The 19882-nt window shown below is 39.2% G+C and overlaps 1 pseudogene, besides 2 other annotated features; it reads right to left on the minus strand.

The window, feature by feature from the left end:
- Positions 1856 to 2356: an enhancer, noted in NCBI's record as "H3K27ac hESC enhancer chr19:20421458-20421958 (GRCh37/hg19 assembly coordinates)". NCBI's record gives its function as "activates a minimal SCP1, AML or CMV promoter by ChIP-STARR-seq in primed H9 embryonic stem cells {active_cell/tissue: H9 hESC(primed)}" and the evidence as "EXISTENCE:reporter gene assay evidence [ECO:0000049][PMID:30033119]".
- Positions 2357 to 2857: an enhancer, noted in NCBI's record as "H3K27ac hESC enhancer chr19:20421959-20422459 (GRCh37/hg19 assembly coordinates)". NCBI's record gives its function as "activates a minimal SCP1, AML or CMV promoter by ChIP-STARR-seq in primed H9 embryonic stem cells {active_cell/tissue: H9 hESC(primed)}" and the evidence as "EXISTENCE:reporter gene assay evidence [ECO:0000049][PMID:30033119]".
- On the minus strand, positions 15199 to 15775 carry BNIP3P19 (BCL2 interacting protein 3 pseudogene 19; annotated as a pseudogene).

Raw genomic sequence — 19882 nt, forward strand, 5'->3', positions numbered from 1 at the left:
AATGCAATGGTGCATTCTCATCTCACTGCAACCTCCACCTCCCTGATTCAAGCAAATCTTCCACCTCAGCCTCCCAAGTAGCTGGGATAACAGGCACCTGCCCTTATGCCCAGATAATTTTTGTATTTTTGGTAGAGATGAGGTTTCACCATGTTAACCAGGCTTGTCTTGAACTCCTGACCTCAGGTCATTCACCCACCTTGGTCTCCCAGAGTGCTGGGATTACAGGCATGAGCCACCATGCCCAGCCGGAAGAATTTTGATAGGCAGAAAAATGCAGATTATATACACTCATTGCTCTACTCTGATTTGCTTCAACGCTGAAAAATTGAAGATTGTAAATGTAGTCTCAATTTAGAGAAAATTATCAAAATATTTATTTTTCAAAAAAGCAAATGTATAAAATTAATGGGTATCAGGTGTCATTAGCTGCTAAAAAAATAGTATGACTAAATTTAGTAAGTATCTAGCTATGCAAATAACAGCCTAATTAAATTAACACCCTAATAGGTGCATGTGGAAAGCATTGCTGTGCACTGTGGTGCACCCAGACTCAGCATTTTCTTCTGCCTCTTCACAGAGATACCAATTCCCCCTGAGTTACTCAGTGTCCATACTGTTGTTAGAAATGCTTGTTCTCTGGTGCCATAAAGAAATAGTACTTGAAAATAAATTTAATTTTCTTAGCAAGGCCATTCTTTTTGCAAAAAGGGCACACTCACCAGCAGTTTTGCTACCAGAGTACACTGAACAAAAGAGACAGGGTCATTTATAACCTGATGTGTCCACCCTACTTTTATGTTTGGTTTTTATTGGCTGAAAAGAGACTTCACATTCTGTATTTTTCCCGATTGTTTAGCAACTTAGAACTTTTTTTTTTTTTTTTTTTTTTTTTAAGACGGAGTCTCGCTCTGTCGCCCAGGCTGGAGTGCAGTGGCGGGATCTCGGCTCACTGCAAGCTCCGCCTCCCGGGTTCACGCCATTCTCCTGCCTCAGCCTCCCAAGTAGCTGGGACTACAGGCGCCCGCAACTACGCCCGGCTAATTTTTTGTATTTTTAGTAGAGACGGGGTTTCACCGTTTTAGCCGGGATGGTCTCGATCTCCTGACCTCGTGATCCGCCCGCCTCGGCCTCCCAAAGTGCTGGGATTACAGGCGTGAGCCACCGTGCCCGGCCAACTTAGAACTTTTTAAAGGAGGCAAATGCAGAGGAGAACAAAGAAAGGAGGAAGTAACTTGTGGAATGCTGAGACAGGTAAAAACACCTTCAAATAAGGAAGAGTAACAGGCTGTGACCTAATGCTTGCTTGGACCAGTATAAGCATGCCAAGGCAAATATTTAGGCTAAATTATGGAAGCTAAGAACATAAAGTCCATTGATTTTTTTGTTATGGCTAGCAGATATTTAAGAATGTTAGCACAGGTCTTTGAATAAACTTTGCTTCTAAGAGAAGTTACTATTTATTCCTAATTAGACGGGGAGGAAAGTCTTTGAAGAGGAACCTCTACTTCACTTTTTATACTGGGAACTGAGAATGCTGTGTTCAGAGTGATTACCGAAAACATGGTTAATACACTTCTTCCATATGATAATAAAATGTTATAAATCTTACTCTGCCTCAGAAAAGCTTTTACTAAAACATTATCTATAGTACTCAATTAGAGTTCATGGAAAATTTCAATATTCCAAATAATTCAGACAGTTAAATGTCAATGAAATCCCATAAAACATTTGAATAAGATAAGTCTTCTTAGCAAATAATTTTATATTACTGGTAAATTTAGAAAAAAAAAATAGAAAACCAGGCCAAATGTGGTGGCTCACACCTGTAATCTCAGCACTTTGGGAGGCTGAGGTGGGTGGAAATCCCATCTCTACTAAAAATATAAAAATTTGTTGGGCGTGGTGGCACATGCCTGTAATCGCGGGTATTGAGAAGGCTGAGGCAGGAGAATCGCCTAAACCTGGGAGGTGGAGGTTACAGTGCGTGGAGATGGTGCCACTGCACTCCAGCCTGGATGACAAGAGCAAAACTCCATCTCAAAAAAAAAAAAAAAAGGATTTTTTTTTGTTTTTTTTTTTCTGTGTTGACTTACTTTACTTAGCATAATATCTTTCAGGTTCATGAATGTTGCAAATAACAAGATTGTCTTACTTTAGGGGCTGAATAGCATTTCATTGTTTACATACACCATATTTTCTCTCTTCATTCACTTCTTGATGGACACTTAGATTAATACCTTAGCTATTGCGAGTAATCCACTTCTTTCCTTCTCTTTTGTTTTTGTTTCGTTTTGTGTGAGACGGCGTCTCTTTCTGTCGCCCAAGCTGGAGTGTAGTGGCATGATGTCTGCTCACTGTAAACTCTGCCTCCCAGGTTCAAGTGATTCTCATGCCTAAGCTTCCTGAGTAGCTGAGATTACAGGTGTGTGCCACCACACCAGGCTAATTTTTGTATTTTTAATAGAGGCAGGCTTTCTTTATGTTGACCAGGCTGCCTTTCATTTGTTTGTATATTTCTTTCTCCCTTTCCTTCTTTATTTCTAGAAGTATTTTACTTTTAAAATATAAATTATGACTGTTATAAACCTTCATTTCTCTGTCTTTGCTTACTATTATGGCTGATTAAAAATAAGTTTTTTGAAATTTCCTGGATAAAGTTATTATTTCATTATTAACATAACGAGAAAATATAGAAAGGAAAACCAACATTTGTTAGTAAAACAGAAATTATCTAGCTACTGGTAGTGATTTAGTCTCTCACCCAACATGAATGCTACATCTTGGTGTCATCTCTCCCAGTCGTATGAAAGAGGCTACTGATCAAATTGGTCAGCATAAAATTTTGTGAAGTTTAACACCTTTGTTCTAAAAATTAAGCTGATCTATTACCAAAAAAGTAGATTTTTTGATATGTATAATTTGACTCTATTTAAATTCCGCAGAAAAATTAAACTGACAACATATATTTAAAAGTTTTTTGAGGGCTGGGTGCGGTGGCTCATGCCTGTAATCCCAGCACTTTGGGAGGCCAAGGCGGGTGGATCTCGAGGTCAGGAGATTGAGACCATCCTGGCTAACACGGTGAAACCCCGTCTCTACTGAAAATACAAAAAATTAGACGGGAGTGGTGGTGGGCGCCTGTAGTGCCAGGTACTCGGGAGGCTGAGGCAGGAGAATGGCGTGAACCTGGGAGGCGGAGCTTGCAGTGAGCTTGTGCCACTGCACTCCAGCCTGGGTGACAGAGCGAGACTCCATCTCAAAAAAAAAAATTTTTTTTGGAAATTAAAAATGCTTAAGAAACATATTTATAGAAACTAAAAGTAAAAATAATTTTAGATTCTTAGAGAACATCTCTAAAATACTTCAAGTTATCCTCTGAGAGTATATATATATATATATGTATATATATGTGTGTATATATATAAACACACACATATATATACATATATATATATATATACATATGCATGCATATTTTTTTTTGTTTTTTTCTTTTTTTGAGACAGAGTTTCACTCTTACCCAGGCTGAAGTGCAATGGCAGAATCTCTGCTCACTGCAACCTCCACCTCCCGGGTTCAAGTGATTCTTTTGCCTCAGCCTCCTCAATACCTGGGATTACAGGCACTCACCATGCCTGGTTAATTTTTGTATTTTCAGTAGAGATGGGGTTTCACTATGTTGGCCACAGTGGTCTCGAACTCCTGAAATCAAGTGATCTGCTTGCCTCAGCCTCCCCAAAGTGCTGGGATTACAGGCGTGAGCCACTGCCCAGCCAAGTGTTCAACTTTTCTGCATCAATTATCTCAGCTCAGAAAATTTAAATCAGCCAATTAGCTTACCTCAGGGGATTCCAAGCAGCTCATTAGCACTCCCCAGGAGAATCCAATCAACAAATTAGCTTAGCCCAGCTGATTAGCCCAGGTGATTTCTTTTCTTTACTTTTCTTTTTCTTTTTTTTTTACAGGAACACAGATTTGATGTTTTAATAAAAAAAAAAATACGATTTCTGCAAAAGGTGCTTAACACGGCCCAGGACGGGCTGTCCGGTGGAGTCAGCCCTAGGACCCCTGAAGGATGCATAAAGACAGAGCCGGCTCGCCAGCACGCTCCTGCCAGCACCGGGACCCACTGCGAGCCACTGCGGGGTGTCCTTCATTAAAAAAAAGTCTGGATTGTGACATTGCAAAAGGAGTCTGAAAGCCATATGCCCAATTCCTGAATCCCTACGTTAGAACTGAGAGTTTAGGCTGGGCACGGTGGCTCACGCCTGTAATGCCAGTATTTTGGGAAGCTGAGGCGGGTGGCTCACCTGAGGTCAGGAGTTCAAGACCAGCCTGACCAACATGATGAAACCCCGTCTCTAATAAAAACTTGCCCGTAATCCCAGCACTTTGGGAGGCCTAGGTGAGCGGATCACGCGGTCAGGAGATCGAGACCATCCTGGCTAACACGGTGAAACACCGTCTCTAATAAAAATACAAAAAAAATTAGCTATGTGTGGTCATGGGCGCCTGTAGTCCCGGCTACTTGGGAGGCTGAGGCAGGAGAATGGTGTGAACCCAGGAGGCGGAGCTTGCAGTAAGCCGAGATTGCGCCATTGCACTCTAGCCTGGGCGACAGAGTGAGACTCTGTCTCAAAAAAAAAAAAAAAAAAAAAAAAAAAAAAAAAAAAATTAGCTGGGCATGGTGGCGCATGCCTGTAATCCCAATTACTTAGGAGGCTGAGGCAGAAGAATCGCTTGAACCCGGGAGGTGGAGGTTGCAGTGAGCCGAGATCGCACCACTGCACTCCAGCCTGGGTGACAGAGCAAGATTCCATACCAAAAAAAAAAAAGTGAGTGCTTAGCTGGAGTGAGGAGGAAATACTGAATTCCTAGGTCAGGAATTCATTTCATTTTCACCAAGCGCAGATATCCCAGCTCCTGAACAAGGCCAAGACCGAGGGTCTGGCACCGGGCACGTGTAAGAAAGGACTGTTTTAAGAACCTTATTACACAAAGCTCTTATTTCTGGATCCACCACTGCTTACATTTGCACCCAGACACCACTTCTAGGTGCAAGAAGAAAGATCAGGACATAGAGAAAAATGCACACAGAACGATGAGGGAGGATGACGAGGGAGAAAGCCTGCATCAGAGCACTAGCCCAGATGATTTCTAACAGCCAACTAGCTTTTTCTAGGGGACACCAATCAGCCAGTTAGCTCAGCTGATGTGAATCTTATAACCCGATTAGTTTAGCACAGGTGATTTTAAACCACCGATTAACTCAGCTCAGGTGATTTCAATCAGCGAATTAGCTCAGCCCAGGTGATTTCAATCAGCTACTTTATCAACCCAGGTGAATTCAATTAGCCAATTAGCTCAGTCTAGGTGATCCCAATCACCTAATTATCTAGTGGCTACAGATTCATTAAGGTATGCCCAAAATTGTAAATGTAAATAGCCCATGAACACCAAGAAGAAATGCAGGGCCCTATATGCTAACCTGGACAGTATGTATAACACAGCTTTACTGTCACTTTATTTACAAGGCCTGAAACCTGAAGCTGAAGCTTTACGTTTATATAAACAACACTGTATGGCTATGTTTCATTCTGACATGCTATTGAGCAAAAGAGAAGGCAATTAATTCTGCATCTGCATCCTTAGTATATGCTCTATATTTTAAAAAGTGGGAAAATATTGTATGTATACATTAATATTTACATAGATACATTCATATAAGTTTGTGAGTGTTTATGTAGCTACCATATGTGTACATATATTCATACACATACCTAAGTGTATATAAATATATATATGAAGCTGTAACAATTTTTGTATTTATATTCATACAAAATAAAGATGTTGAATGTGGAAGTATTGATAGCTATTGCTACAAACAGTAATACAGAACCTTCCATACCTGTATAAAAATATTTTCTCTATAGACTACTATATCTAGAATAGTACAGAAATAGAGGAATGCTCTAATATACATCCTGCTGCAGTTAATATATTCAAAGGGAGCATTGGGCTTTGTTTTGCACTTCTGGAAGATGAAAATTTACTAAGACCATTGGAGTTATTTACTGCCATGTCAGGGTTGACTTTTCTTTTATTGTTGTACATAGGGTCAGAGATGAACCAGCCCCAGTCCAAAGGTCTAACCTAAATATGAGAATACTTATTCTTTCTCTTTAGAACTTCCATCGAACAAGAACTGTATTTATTTCCAAAAGTGTGTGATGTAAAATCACACTATTGTCTTTCGGTCTTTGTGGCAGAAGTTGGGTATTTATGGTAATGAAAAAGAAGTCTATGTCTCTTTTTAGAAGACAGATGGTGATGGAAGCAAATATAATGGTACATGGTACTTGGCCACATTTCAAATGGGTGATATTGAATAGTCGCTGAAGTGCCACAGGTGGCTTTTATTTCCCAGGTCAAATCTTCTTTGTGAGGAAGGCTCAGCCCACTGTTGTCAAGCATTTCTGGTAATTTCTAGATAGATGAACAAAATTTCACTGGGCTGGATTAATGAGACCAGGTTTAAAAACACCCAGGTTCCAGGTTATTAAAGACATTGTTAAATTTGTATTAAAAAAAGTGGCATGGTGTGCGGCTTGGTTTGAATAAATCTTCACTGAGCTCAGTAGCTGATTACCTAACCTGTAGGTAAAGGAATTGGAAAAACCTCTGACCAAGTTTATTTTATAGGCTTCTTTCTGTACATGTAGATATAAAATAGGTGGCTAGATAAACATATACACATGAAATGAGTCACACGTGTATGTCTACGTAATGTTTATTTCTGCATATGACTCTCAAAAAAAAAGCCTCAGGAATAAAGTCAGATGACATCTCGGTAAGCTACCCTGAAGCTGAGGTAAATCAAATAAGCAAATTAGCAGAAGTCGGGTGATTGCAATCAGTCAATTTGCACAGCTCAGATGATTCCAACCAGCGAAGTAGCTCAGCCCAGGTGGATACAATCATCCAATTATCTAAATGATGACTGGCTTTGTCAAGGCAGGACCCAAATGGTGGATGTGTACAGAACATGCACACATTGAGGAGAAATGCAGGGCGCTGAAATACTAACATGGACAGATGTGTTGTACATGGCTTTATTTTCAGCTTCTGTGGTCTTGCCCTTGAAGATAAAGCTTTGTTGATATTTACATAAAAAACATTGTATGAATATGTTCCATTCTGACATGTTATTTAGCAAAAGAAAAAAGAAGTAATTCTACATCAGCATCTTTAGTACATGCTAAAAGATTAAAAATGTTTTTTGGGAAATTTGTTTTGTATAAATATTTATATAGAAATATTTATTTAATTCTCTATGTGAGTGTTTGTCTTCCTATGTACATTTATATCTAGATGTGTCAATCTTTGTATCGATATGCATTGCTATGAATAGTAAGATAAAAAGTAACTTCTGGCTGGGCACTGGGGCTCACACCTGTAAGCCCAGCACTTTGAGAGGCTGAGATGAGTAGATCGCCTGAGGTCAGGAGTTCAAGACCAGCCTGGCCAACATGGTGAAAAGCCATCTCTTCTAAAAAATAAAAAAATTAGCCAGGCTTGGTGGCAGGTATCTATATTTCCAGCTACTTGGGAGTCTGAGGCAGGAGAATTGCTTGAACCCAGGAGGCAGAGGTTACAGTGAGCCAAGATTGAACAACTACACTCCAACATAAGCAATAGAGCAAGATTCAATCTCAAAAAGCAAACAAAAAAAAACCCCAAAATGATGATATGTAAAACCTTTAAAGTTCTTTTATAGAATATAAAAAATATGTAAATTCACATACATCTGAGAGATACACCACATAAAATAATTTTAATATCAATAACAAACTGGAAAATATAGAGGCATGGTTTATGTATTCAACTGAAGTTGTTATGAAATTTAAAAATATTGTTTTAACTTTAAGATGTATGTCATTTCCAGCTGTCAAAATGATTACAAAGATAATATTTATAGAAAGTATGCAAAAGAAAACAAAAAATAATCAAATCATGCCAGTACAAAATTAAATGAAAGTTAAGAAAGTAAATAAGGAAAAGAGAAAAATATAACTACTAGAAACACACAAAACAATATCAGTATAACTAGTAATAACAACATCATTTCCCTAAGCAATCATTTTAAATATAAATTAATTAAACTACTTAATAAAATGAAATGTAATCTTAGGATTTTGGAAGGCCAAGGTAGGCTGATCACTTGATCCCAGGAGTTCAAGACCAGAATTCTCAATAAAGAATACAAAAAAGGTAGCTGGGTGTGATGGCACATACTTGTAACCCAGCTACTTGAGAGGCTGAATGAGAGGATCATCTATCTGAGTTTGGGAGGTTCAGGCAGCAGTGAACTGAGCAAATCAGCCTGGCTGACAGAGTGAGACCCTATCTCCATGATAAATGAGGCCAGGTGCAGTGGTGCACACCTGTAATCCCAGCACTTTGGGAGGCCGAGACAGGCAACCACCTGAGGTCAGGAGTTCAAGAGCAGCCTGGCCATCATGGTGAAACCCCATCTCTACTAAAAATAGAAAAAATTAGCTGGACATCGTGGTGGGAACCTGTAATCCTAGCTACTCAGGAGGCTGCAGCAGGACAATTGCTTGAAACCAAGAGGCAGAGGTTGCAGTGAGCTGAGATAGCACCATTACATTCCAGCCTGGGAAACAAGAGTGAAACTCAGTCTGAAAATGTATATATATATATATGAATAAGTAAAATTATATAAAGAAAAAGAAATAGAATGCCTGAGTAGTTTTTTATAAAGCATACAGTATGCTGCCTACAAAAGATTCATTTTAGCAATGAGTCAAATAGGCTGATAAAGTAACAGAATGAAAAAGATGTATATCCCATGAGAATAGCAACCACAACTGAGTGAGGTGGTCATAATTATAATAGACATAATATGCTTTAAGTCAATACTGTCATGAAACAATGATTGATATTGTATTATGATAAAGTGAGTTAATATAGCAGAAATCTGTAACTATAATATTTATCTATATATATATGTGTATACAACATCAGGGCTTTAAAACGTACAAAGCAAATATTAACAAAAGTGAAGCAAGACACACATAGCAACATAATTCCTGTAGGTGAATGTTTAGTAGGAAAAACTAAAAACTGTAATGGCTGCATAGGGTCAATTCATTTCACTTGTGCTTGTTGAATTTTTTCTTCAATTAATTGAAGTTCCTCTAATGCCTCTTTAGAAAGGGAGCATTTACTGTTAAGGTCAGAATTAGCTTGTAAAGTAGAAAAAAGGTGAGACATAGCATAGGTAGGAATGCCTAAAGATGGACAAATCCAATTAATGTCTCCTAATAAATTTGAAAATCATTTAGAGTTTTTAAATTATCTCTTTCAATTTGAACTTTTTGAGGATTATTAGTACTTTGTTCTACTTTCATTCCTAAATATTGAAAGGGAGTAGAGGTTTGGATTTTGTCAGGGGCTATGATTAATCCTGCTGCAGTCACAGACTTTTCTAACTGTTGTTAGCATAGCATTACTTCCTCTCTAGTTTCAGCTGCACATAAAATGTCATCCATGTAATGGATAATATAACTTTTTAAAATTGTTCTCTAACTGGCTTAATAGTTTTTCCGACATAAGTTTGACAAATAGTTGGGCTATTTAACATTCCTTGTGGTAATACTTTCCAATGGTATCTGTCCGCTGGTTCTTTGTTATTTATAGTGGGAACAGTAAAAGCAAATTTTTCATAATCTTGGGTCACTAAAGGAATGGTAAAGAAAGAATCTGTTAAATCTATCACTATTAGAGGCCAGTATTTAGGAATAATAGTTGGAGAGGGCAGCCCTGGTTGCAGTGCGCTCATGGGTTGAAATATAGCATTAACAGCCCTCAAGTCTGTTAACATTCTCCGTTTACCTGATTTTTTCTTAGTAACAAACACAGGAGAATTCCAAAGAGAGAAGGTAGGCTCTATGTGTCCCTTTCGCAATTGTTCCTGTGCCAATTCTATAAAAGCCTCCAGTTTTTCCTGTTTCAGTGGCATTGATCCACCCAAACAAGTTTGGCAGTTAACCAAACAAGGGGAATGGGAGCTGGAGGCTCAGCAATGGCCACTCCTAAAAATGATACCCTAATCCAGTTCTATCTATTTGCCCTTTTAGTTCTAAAGGTTCTGGTTGGCTATTTTCATTTTTTCCTAATCCCTTCCCCAGGAGATGTCCAATTTTTCTCATAATTTGTTTACTGTTATTACTATACTGTTCCATAGGAATAGATATTTCAGCACCCCATTGTTGTAATAAGTCTCTACCCCATACATAGATTGAGAGGAATATGTGTAATAATAGGTTGAATTGTCCCTTCTTGGCCATCTGGCCCTTGGCATGGCAAAATTAAAGAACTCTGAAAAACTTCTGAGGCAGTCCCTATGCCAACAATACCCATGGAAGCCTTTTCTTTGGGCATTGTCAGGGCCATTGATTTAAAGCAGTAATAGAGACATCAGCTCCAGTATCTACTAATCCTTTAAAGTCTTTACCTTGAATGGTTACTGTACAAATAGGTCTTTTGTCAGAAACTTGATTAACCTAATGGACAGCCTTTCCTGCTGGATTCGTACTACCAAAGCCTCCTGTTCTTTTCACTGTACTACTTCCTAGCTTTGTGTAAGGTAGTAGTAATAATTGAGCAATTCTTTCTCCTGGAGAAGCAGACCATGGAGTTGAGGAAGTAATAACTATTTGAATTTCTCTGCTATAATCAGAATCAATTATTCCCGTGTGAACAGTGACACCCCTTAAATTTAAACTAGACCTTCCAAGCAATAGACCAACTCTTCCTGAGGGTAAAGGGCCCCTAACTCCCATGGGGACCTTCTTTGGTGGCTCCCCAGGAAGTAAGAAAATGGGAACTGTACTGCAAAAATCTATGGCAGCAGTGCCTGCTGTGGTGGGGGACAATTGTTGTACATTTGTAAGGGCAGTGGCTGTGCCAGATATGCCTCGGTTTGTTGAGGGGCCCAAGTTGGGCACCCCTTCCTGTTTCCCGAAAGAGGTTGTCCACATTTTTTTTATTTTTTATTTTTTTAAATGTTATTATTTTTATACTTTAAGTTTTAGGGTACATGTGCACAACGTGCAGGTTTGTTACATATGTATACATGTGCTATGTTGGTGTGCTGCACCCATTAACTCATCATTTAGCATTAGGTATATCTCCTAATGCTATCCCTCCCTCCTCCCCCCACCCTGCCCATCTTTACTAAATTTAGAATGACACTGATTTGACCAGTGAATCCCTTTTTTATATCGGGGGCAGATACTGGGACTTTTTTGTTGCTTACCGGTAGTAGTCTTTGCCTGCTGATTTCCTTTTTTACATTCCTTTTTTGTGTATCCAAATTGCCCACAATTAAAAGAGACTGAGAAATGGGGCATGTTTTTTCCCCTTTAGTCCAGCCATAGCTTGAGCTAAATGAGGAGCCTTATGTAAATTACCCCTAATGCCATCACAAGCCTTAATATATTCAGCCAAATGAGCCTTCCCTCTCATAGGTCTCATAGCAGCTTGACATTCTGCATTGGCATTATCATATGCAAGAAGCTGTATTGTAACATCTTGAGCTGTTTTGTCAGTTATAGCTTTATGCACAGCCTCTTGGAGCTGAGGAATAAAATCAGCATATGATTCTTTAGGTCCTTGTAGGACAGAACTGAAAGAAGGATATTTTTCTCTTGTAACATTTATTCTCTCCCACGCCCATAAGCACACAGCATGCAGCTGAGAAATGGCAACATTCTCTATCACTGCCTGATTTTCTAATCACCCCCAATTAGGGCCAACTCCCATTAACTGTTCAAAACAAACAGGCACAGGTGGCTGTGCTTGTATGTTTTCTCTTGCCTGAGTTTGAGCTTCATCAGCCCACCAAGTTTTAAACTGCAAGTACTGAGATGGAGTGAGAACAGATTTTGTTAAAGTATCCCAGTCATATGGTATAAAGTATCCCAGTCATACGGTATTAACCTATTGTCAAGAGCCATATTTTTTAATAAAGTTTTTACAAAAGGAGAATTTGGCCCATATTGACTAATGGCTTGTTTGAATTCCTTTAACAACTTAAAAGAAAAAGTGGCCCAATTAGCTATATTTCATCCTTCTTGTTGGGTTATAGTAACTGGAAATTGCCATGCTTCAAAGTCACCTTCAGCTCTAGCTTTTTGAATCGAATTTCGTATAGGACCACCAATCGCTCCAGGTTTTAATGTTGCAACTACAGGAGTGGTAAGTTTCTCAGCTGTTTCATTTTCTTGCCCATTATGGGGAGAGGGAGGATATGGCCATTCACTTAATTCAGCAGGTGGAATCAATGGGCTAGTAAAACATACCTTTTTCAGTTTCCCTTTGTTTTCTTTAATTTCCTCCAGTTGCTGTTCCTCACATTCAGAATCTGAAGTTAGTTTTTTACACTAGTCTGCCTCTTCCTCTTCTGAATCTGCCTTGTCATCTGTTTGAAGTGCCCCAAGAGCTGCCTTTATCAATGCCTGCACTGACCAAACAGAAACTGGAATTTTGGCTCCGTCTTTATATGCCTTTTTAAATTCTCTGCCAATTCTTTTCCATTCATCCAACTCCATAGTCTCATGTTCTGGGAACCATGGGCAAAACTGCTCTACAGTACTAAAGAGTGTCAATAAATTCTGTGTACTAACTTTCACATCTCCTCTCCATAATAAATGCCTTAGAAGTTTAAACAAGCAGAATGTTTGCTTTCATTCTGTCCCATTGTTACCCTGGTTCTTCTGAGTGCCCAGCTTAGCACTGAGCTTCTTTTAGTCATCCTCGGGTGTCCTCTGACAATATGTCCTCTGCTTCCACAAGCTCTAGCGTTCCTTCACTGGGGTCTTCATAGTCCCACATTGGGCACCAGAAATGTTGGGGTGATCAGGCCCAACACCAGGCCATGTGGGCTATGAAGTCTGGCGGAGTCAAAGGATTGAGACAAGACAAGTTAAGAGTACTTAAATTGGGTCCAGGGGGCCAATGCTAGTATGGAGGCTGTGAAGGCCCCGAGCTCTGGAAGCCCACACTATTTATCAGTGATCAGACAAATAAGCAGGTGGTAAGGACGTGCGGATGTGGGGTAAACAGGTGAGGACGTGAGGACTTCGGGCTAGAAAGGTAGCAGTGCATCAAGTGTAGCTGTGATGGTTTCACATTTTCTTTGATGCATACGTAATATGCTGTGCTACCTGACATAATGGAGAACATGTTTATGAGCCTGGGAGAGCAAGAAACAAGGAATCAACAAGTCTGTGCCATTCCAGAGGCCAGGAGGGGTTTTATGCCCTGAGCCTTGGATTCCATCCGAGCCACGAGGGGTTTTATGCCCTGGGCTTAGATTATGGTGTGGCAAGGCAGCCTTCCACCCTTTGGCACAGAGCTTTGTGTTCCAGAGGCCACGAGGGGGTTTAGACCCTGGACACAGGACTTGTTCCAAGACCCTTTTACATTAGGACAAACAAGCTAGTCCTGCCTCAGCTCTTCTACCAACAGTGATCCACCCACCTCAGCTGCTCAAAGTGCTGGGATCACAGGCATGAACCACCATGCCCAGTCCATTTTTAGTCCTTTAAAGTAAACACAGATTTGTTTAGATAAAAGCTCATTTTAAGAGCACACAAAAGCTTAGCACAAAGATAGGATTAAATTTAGCTATACAGAATGATAAAGACTAAAAGATACTAAGATTCTTTGAAAGAAACCTGATTATCCAAGGTAATTATCCAATATTTGCAGACTGAAGTACTTATATTGCAAAAGCAAGAACAGTTCAGTGCATAAACTGAACAGTGGAGTCTGTAGTTGTACCTTGCTTTCTATTTATTACTTCAGAGCAATTAGCATAGTTATGTGTAGTGTTTGTAGACAACCTGCATTCATATACACTAAATAGTATTTTTTTTTTTTTTGAGACTGTGTCTCACTCTGCTGCCCAGGCTGGAGTGCACTGGTATGATCTTGGCTGACTGCAACCACTGGGTCCCGGGTTCAAGCAATTCTCCTGCCTCAGCCTCCTGAATTGCTGGGATTACAGGCACCCACCACCATGCCTGGCTAAATTTTTCTATTTTTAGTTGAGATGGGGTATCACCATATTGGCCAGCTTGATTGTGAACTCTTGACCTCAGGTGATCCACACACCTCAGTGACTCAAAGTGCTGGGATTACAGGCATGAGCCATAAAGTTTCTTTTTTTTTGAGATGAAGTCTTGCTTTTGTCCCCCAGGCTGGAGTGCAATGGCATGATCTCAGCTCACTGCAACCTCTGCCCCTCAGGTTCAAGCGATTCTCCTGCCTCAGCCTCCCAAGTAGCTGCGATTACAGGTGACTGCCACCACACCTGGCTAATAATAAACAGTATTTTCTTTTATTTATTATTATTATTTTATTTTTTGAGACAGAGTTTCACTCTTGTTGCTGAGGCTGGAGTGCAATGGCATGATCTTGGCTCACCCTCAGCCACACAGGTTCAAGCAATTCTCCTGCCTCAGCCTCCCTAGTAGCTGGGACTATAGGCATGAGCCACCACACCCAGCTGATTTTGTATTTTTAGTAGAGACGGGGTTTCTCCATGTTGATCAAGCTGGTCTTGAACTCCCGACCTCTGGTGATGTGCCCGCCTCAGCCACCCAAAGTGCTGGGATTACAGACGTGAGCTGCCACGCCCAGCCAAATAAACAGTATTTTCTACAATAGTATGAATAAAAATCCACAATACTTACTTTGAATGAATCACTTGAATGTTTATTTTAATATTGTTATTTACACTTTTGAAATATAAATTGTTTTAACTGAAGTATAGTTGCAATTTTTAAGAATGCTACATACATTACTACTAGTTTACTAAAATTATTCATACTCAGATATTTATATCTAATATCCAAAAAAAATTGCTACCAAATTGCTACAGTAGATATTAGTCTGACATGTTTATTACTTTATTCAATAGGGATAATTATAAGTAAACATAATTTAACATCTTTTATTTCACTAAATTGGAATGCTGCTATTACAAAAGAAATAAAGACAGGTAATCTGGCCACCCAAAAACCATAATAGTTCTCCTGTTAACTATGTTGTAAGTTCTAATGTATTCCACCATAAGAACATGGTCAGATTCTATTTCTTCATCAGAAAGTGTTGTTGGAAGTTTTCAGGTATATTTCAATGTAGAACCCCCATTCAGTGGCTAGAAAATGAGACAGCAGCAGAGATGGAAAAAAAAAAACTATAAAATTCTTGTGAAAATCTGCCCCCTTTCTTCGTAATGCTCATGTTTCTCATGCTGAGAGTAGCTGTGCACTTTGGGTGGTTAGAGAGAAATTGCTTTTAGGGGACTATTTTCTGGCTGACTTGATCAATCTTATATCTAATCTGAGCTTTTTCATAAGATCTTTTTAACTTCTCTCAAAATAATCTTGCTCAGATAGAGATCTGGTTTTCTCTCCAGTGCTTTGGGTGTCTGTTTCAGAAGTGCTGTTAGTTTCCCATGGTGTCTGAATGAGCTGGGCTGTCACAGTGAGAATTTCTGGAGCTATCTCTATCTGGACTCATGCTGGAAATTCAGCAGTATTTTTTTTATGTCACCATTATAAATAAAAATTGGGGCTGAAACTCCACTCACATTCCCATTGTTGTGAAGGTGCAATTCTACCCACGAGGCCTGCAGGCTCTCCTCCTGCAGCTCAGGCTTTACTATCTAATGTGACTCTAGAGTGCTGCTGTAGCAAATGGGGTTCACATAAACTGTGAGCTGTGCTCTCGGCTGTGCCTCAGTGGCAGATGGTAGAGGCCAAGAGAGGACACTAGCAACCAGGAGAAAGCAAGCAGGAGTGCTATAACCCAGTGTCAGGGAGTGCAGAGCCACTGCTCCAAAATGTAAATAGCCAAAATGATAGAACCCTATTCAACCACTTTTGTAGCTAGTGAAAACCTACCTTCAGCAGGCACCTGGCTTCAAGCTGCTAAACTACCTTCTGTTATGAAGATGGAAAAAGTTTGTCCTTGAATATAAGCAATTAGCATACACAGATGGCCTCTTCAACCTGCCTGTGAATTTAGGATGAACTGTGTATGACGTGGTGCTGTAAATTTTACTTGTGGACTAATTATGGTGATCATCTTTCTTTGCAGTCTCTTAAGCAGATTGACTATGATGCATGTCACATTCAAGTTTAATGGTGTAATAAAACTGTTTTCTTTCTGTTTTACTATTGTGGAGTTTTTTTGGGGCTGGAGAAAATTGTTCTTTTAATTATTGTTTCCAAACACTGCCTAGAATTACCAGGCATGATATAAACACATAAGGTGCCAACCAGAATTTACTTTAGAGGAAACTTTCCCTCTCAGACTTCCAGTCAACTCACACTTGTGCAACAAAGTGCATGCTGTCCCCTAAATATGCAGGCAGAACTGTGTCTCTGCCCATTTGGTATCTATAGTCCTCTATAGTTACTTCTAGAGAGACTAGACCACATTTCTACTAACTTCACAGGGCAACAATTAATCATTTTATCTCAATGACTCTTGTATCTTCAGACCTGAAACTGATTCAGAGACCATGGGGCCCACAATCCTAATCTGAGTAACATGTGTGCATTGAGTACATATGCAGACATGAGAATCTCCACTTTCCTCTTTTTTCTCTTGGTAAATTGCTCACAAATGTATAGGTAACACCTGCTCCTACTCCAGCCATTCAGGCTCTAAATCTGCAGCTCCACATTTTGTATCCAGGTCTTGAGATTTGGGGGATAGAACATTTTTGTCTAAAAATTGCAAGTCCTTTTGGTTATCAAACTCAGACGTTGAAATGAAAGTGCAGTTGTCTTTCTTCCCCTTTAAAATATGTATTCATCTCTTGAAACTGTTTGCTATTGCCACAAGTAGATATATATTAAACTAATAATGCCACATTGGATGCTATATCTCATACCCTAAACCATAATAATATATATCTAATCAATAATCAATGCTATTTCTGTAAATAAATAAATATTTCTGACAAACAACTTTGCCATTAAAAAAATACATGAAAGCAGTCATGGTTCCTACAATTCAGAAACATTTAGTCTAGACTAGCAACTGCATAAATAATTGAATTATGCATCATATGGTTGGTACAATATATAGACGCATCCAAAATCTTGGGCTTTATTTAGGCCACTTTCTTTATGCTGTTGTGACTTCTGATGTCTACCACTGAAGAGATATTTATTAACAGAAGAATTGTTATTATAATTTCTTTCTTTCTTTCTTTTTTTTTTTTTTTAGACAGAGTCTCTGTTGCCCAGGCTGGAGTACAGAGGCACTATCTCAGCTCACTGCAATTTGTGCCACTAGAGTTCAAGTGATTCTCCTGCCTCAGTCTCCCAAGTAGCTGGGATTACTAGGCCCTGCCACTGTGCCCAGCTAATTTTTGTATTTTTAATAGAGGCTGGGTTTCACCATTTTTGTCAGGCTGTTCTTGAACTCCTGACCTTGTGATCCACCTGCCTCAGCCTTTTAAAATGCTGGAATTATGGGCCTGAGCGACTGCACACTGCTGTATAGTTTCTATTTTTTTTTTAACATTGCTAACTGTACATATTTATTTTCCAATAAAATTACCCTAGGAAACCTTAAGGGATTTGTTTAAATTGCATATTAATGCATAGTATACATTTAACAGGACAGTGGCTAGAAAAGATAAAAATTACAGAAACTCTGGGATTTAAGTTTCTTTTAGGTAAGCTTAGAAAAAGCAAAACTGGAAGTACCCCAGTGGCATAGAGAACAGAATTCTACATAGGGTCCTCACCCTGCCCCAGACCTGTTCAGATTCACCCTTTTTGGAGGCCTTATTTTGGTCTGGCCCTACCATGGAGTCTTGCCTTGCAGAATTGATTAGAAAAGATCAGAGTTTTAGCTGGTGAATCCTGCTGCCTTTCTAGACCTGCTGCTCACAATTTCCTGAAATCCTAAAGCAGATAAATGGGAAAAATAAAGTATGTATTTGAGGGTCTTAGTTTTTAAATTTTCAATGAAAACCAGTGGTTGCAGAGACATTCTATTTAGCAACTTTTTTTTTATTCCTGCAGATCCAGTAGTTTCTGCACAAGTCACAAAAAAGTAAATACAAACAGAATAAAATTTTCTCTAAATAACTGAAGAAATGAAAATGCTGGGCCCTTTTTCTAAATAGTGGAAATTATTAAATCCTTAGTACCAGCTCCTAGGATGTTATGAGAATTAAATCACATAATGTGTTATGCCCAACACAGTGCTCTGTATCATACCCTTGAGCATATAGTACCTGCTTAATAACATTGCATTAGTACATGTGTACATGTTGTTTTTTAAATCCAGACCTATTCAGACATTGCTGCCTTCTGTTTCTTCTGTAAACTTTACAGAGTCGGCAAAGAATATATAACTTTAGGATACAGATGGATTGTCCTTGTTTGTATCAGAAGTATTTGGTTGTGACAAGAGTGCTGAGTGTAAGGGACCCTGTGCTGTGTCTGCTTCTGTAACTAATGGTAATAATGAGCCAATGGGGAGCAACATCAGCATTGACAGGGGACTTGTTTAAAACCCCCATTCATGGACCCTTTTCAAATCTGCAATCACATTACATAAAGTGGGTAAAATTACCAAGTGATTTATAAGCTCGTTAAAGCTTGAGAGGCAATGCTTAGCTTAGTGATTATCAGCTCAGGCTTCTTATTAGGGTCACATGGCCAATTTGCAGAATCTATTGTGCCCTCCCCGCAGCTTCTGTTTATTGTTGTGTGTGGAAGCATCCACGTTGTTTTAATGAAGTGCCTCATGTGACTCTAAGGTAAGGACAGAATCAGGTTTGAAGGCTTCAAAATACATTCATGAGAGTTAAGTTCCACCTTTGCACTAAAGCATGGTCACTGGGCCTACTCTATTTTGACTTGGTAGGGACAGGTCAGTGTGGTGGATATTTGTATTACTGTAGCAGAAATTGCTGGTGTCTGTGGCAGGGGAGGGCACCTGAGTACAGGAAAGAAGAAACTTATATCTTTATCTTCATGGAGGAGTGTATTGTTCCCAAATCTCTTCTGCTTTAATGGACAGAAATGGGTGGGCTTTTTCTGTCTTTTCTGTCAGTTGATGTCATGCTAGCAGGTAAACATGTAGTAGTGCCACCTTTAAGGGCATGTTCTCCAGATGCAGGTGTAATTTGTCCAGAGAATCTCAGAAGAAATCCGGAGGAGAAAAAAAAAAAAGGTTTTTCTTCAGTTAAACATGTCCCAAATGAAAAGCTGTGTCCACTCTGCCTCCTTGAATGCCATGCGTTTAGTACTTGCAAATCTTTACTTCTCTACTTGTGTTTTTTCTTCCTAAGGGGTTTGATTTAACTACTTCTCTAAATTCTTACAATAGTCAAGGATCTCTGAAAAATATTTCTTTTCTTTATCCCAGAGCCTTCTCTTTATTCTCTACATCATAGCTTCTTATATGCCACACAGAATTCTCAGCAAGAATTTATGATCCACAATATTAAAAATGTTTCCTTTGTGGCTGTTGAACATGGAAAGATGTGGATACTCAAGATTTCTATTGAGGAAAACTGTGGTCCTTAGTACAGATAGAGAACATGTAATGTTGAGGCTTCAATCATGTGTTCCATTTGCTCTAAGCAGAACAGGATTAAGAGAATGCGTATTTAAATGGGATGGCATTTATTACCCAGAAAGTTCTGAAAAAAATTATTAGGAGATTCCTGCTCTCTAGGGTGCTTAATGAAGCCTACTTAAAATTCCTACTAAAAATTACAGAACATAGGAGTTACCTGTGTTTTGAA

This window comes from Homo sapiens, chromosome 19 (genome assembly GCF_000001405.40).
Source record: "Homo sapiens chromosome 19, GRCh38.p14 Primary Assembly".
Taxonomy (NCBI): domain Eukaryota; kingdom Metazoa; phylum Chordata; class Mammalia; order Primates; family Hominidae; genus Homo; species Homo sapiens.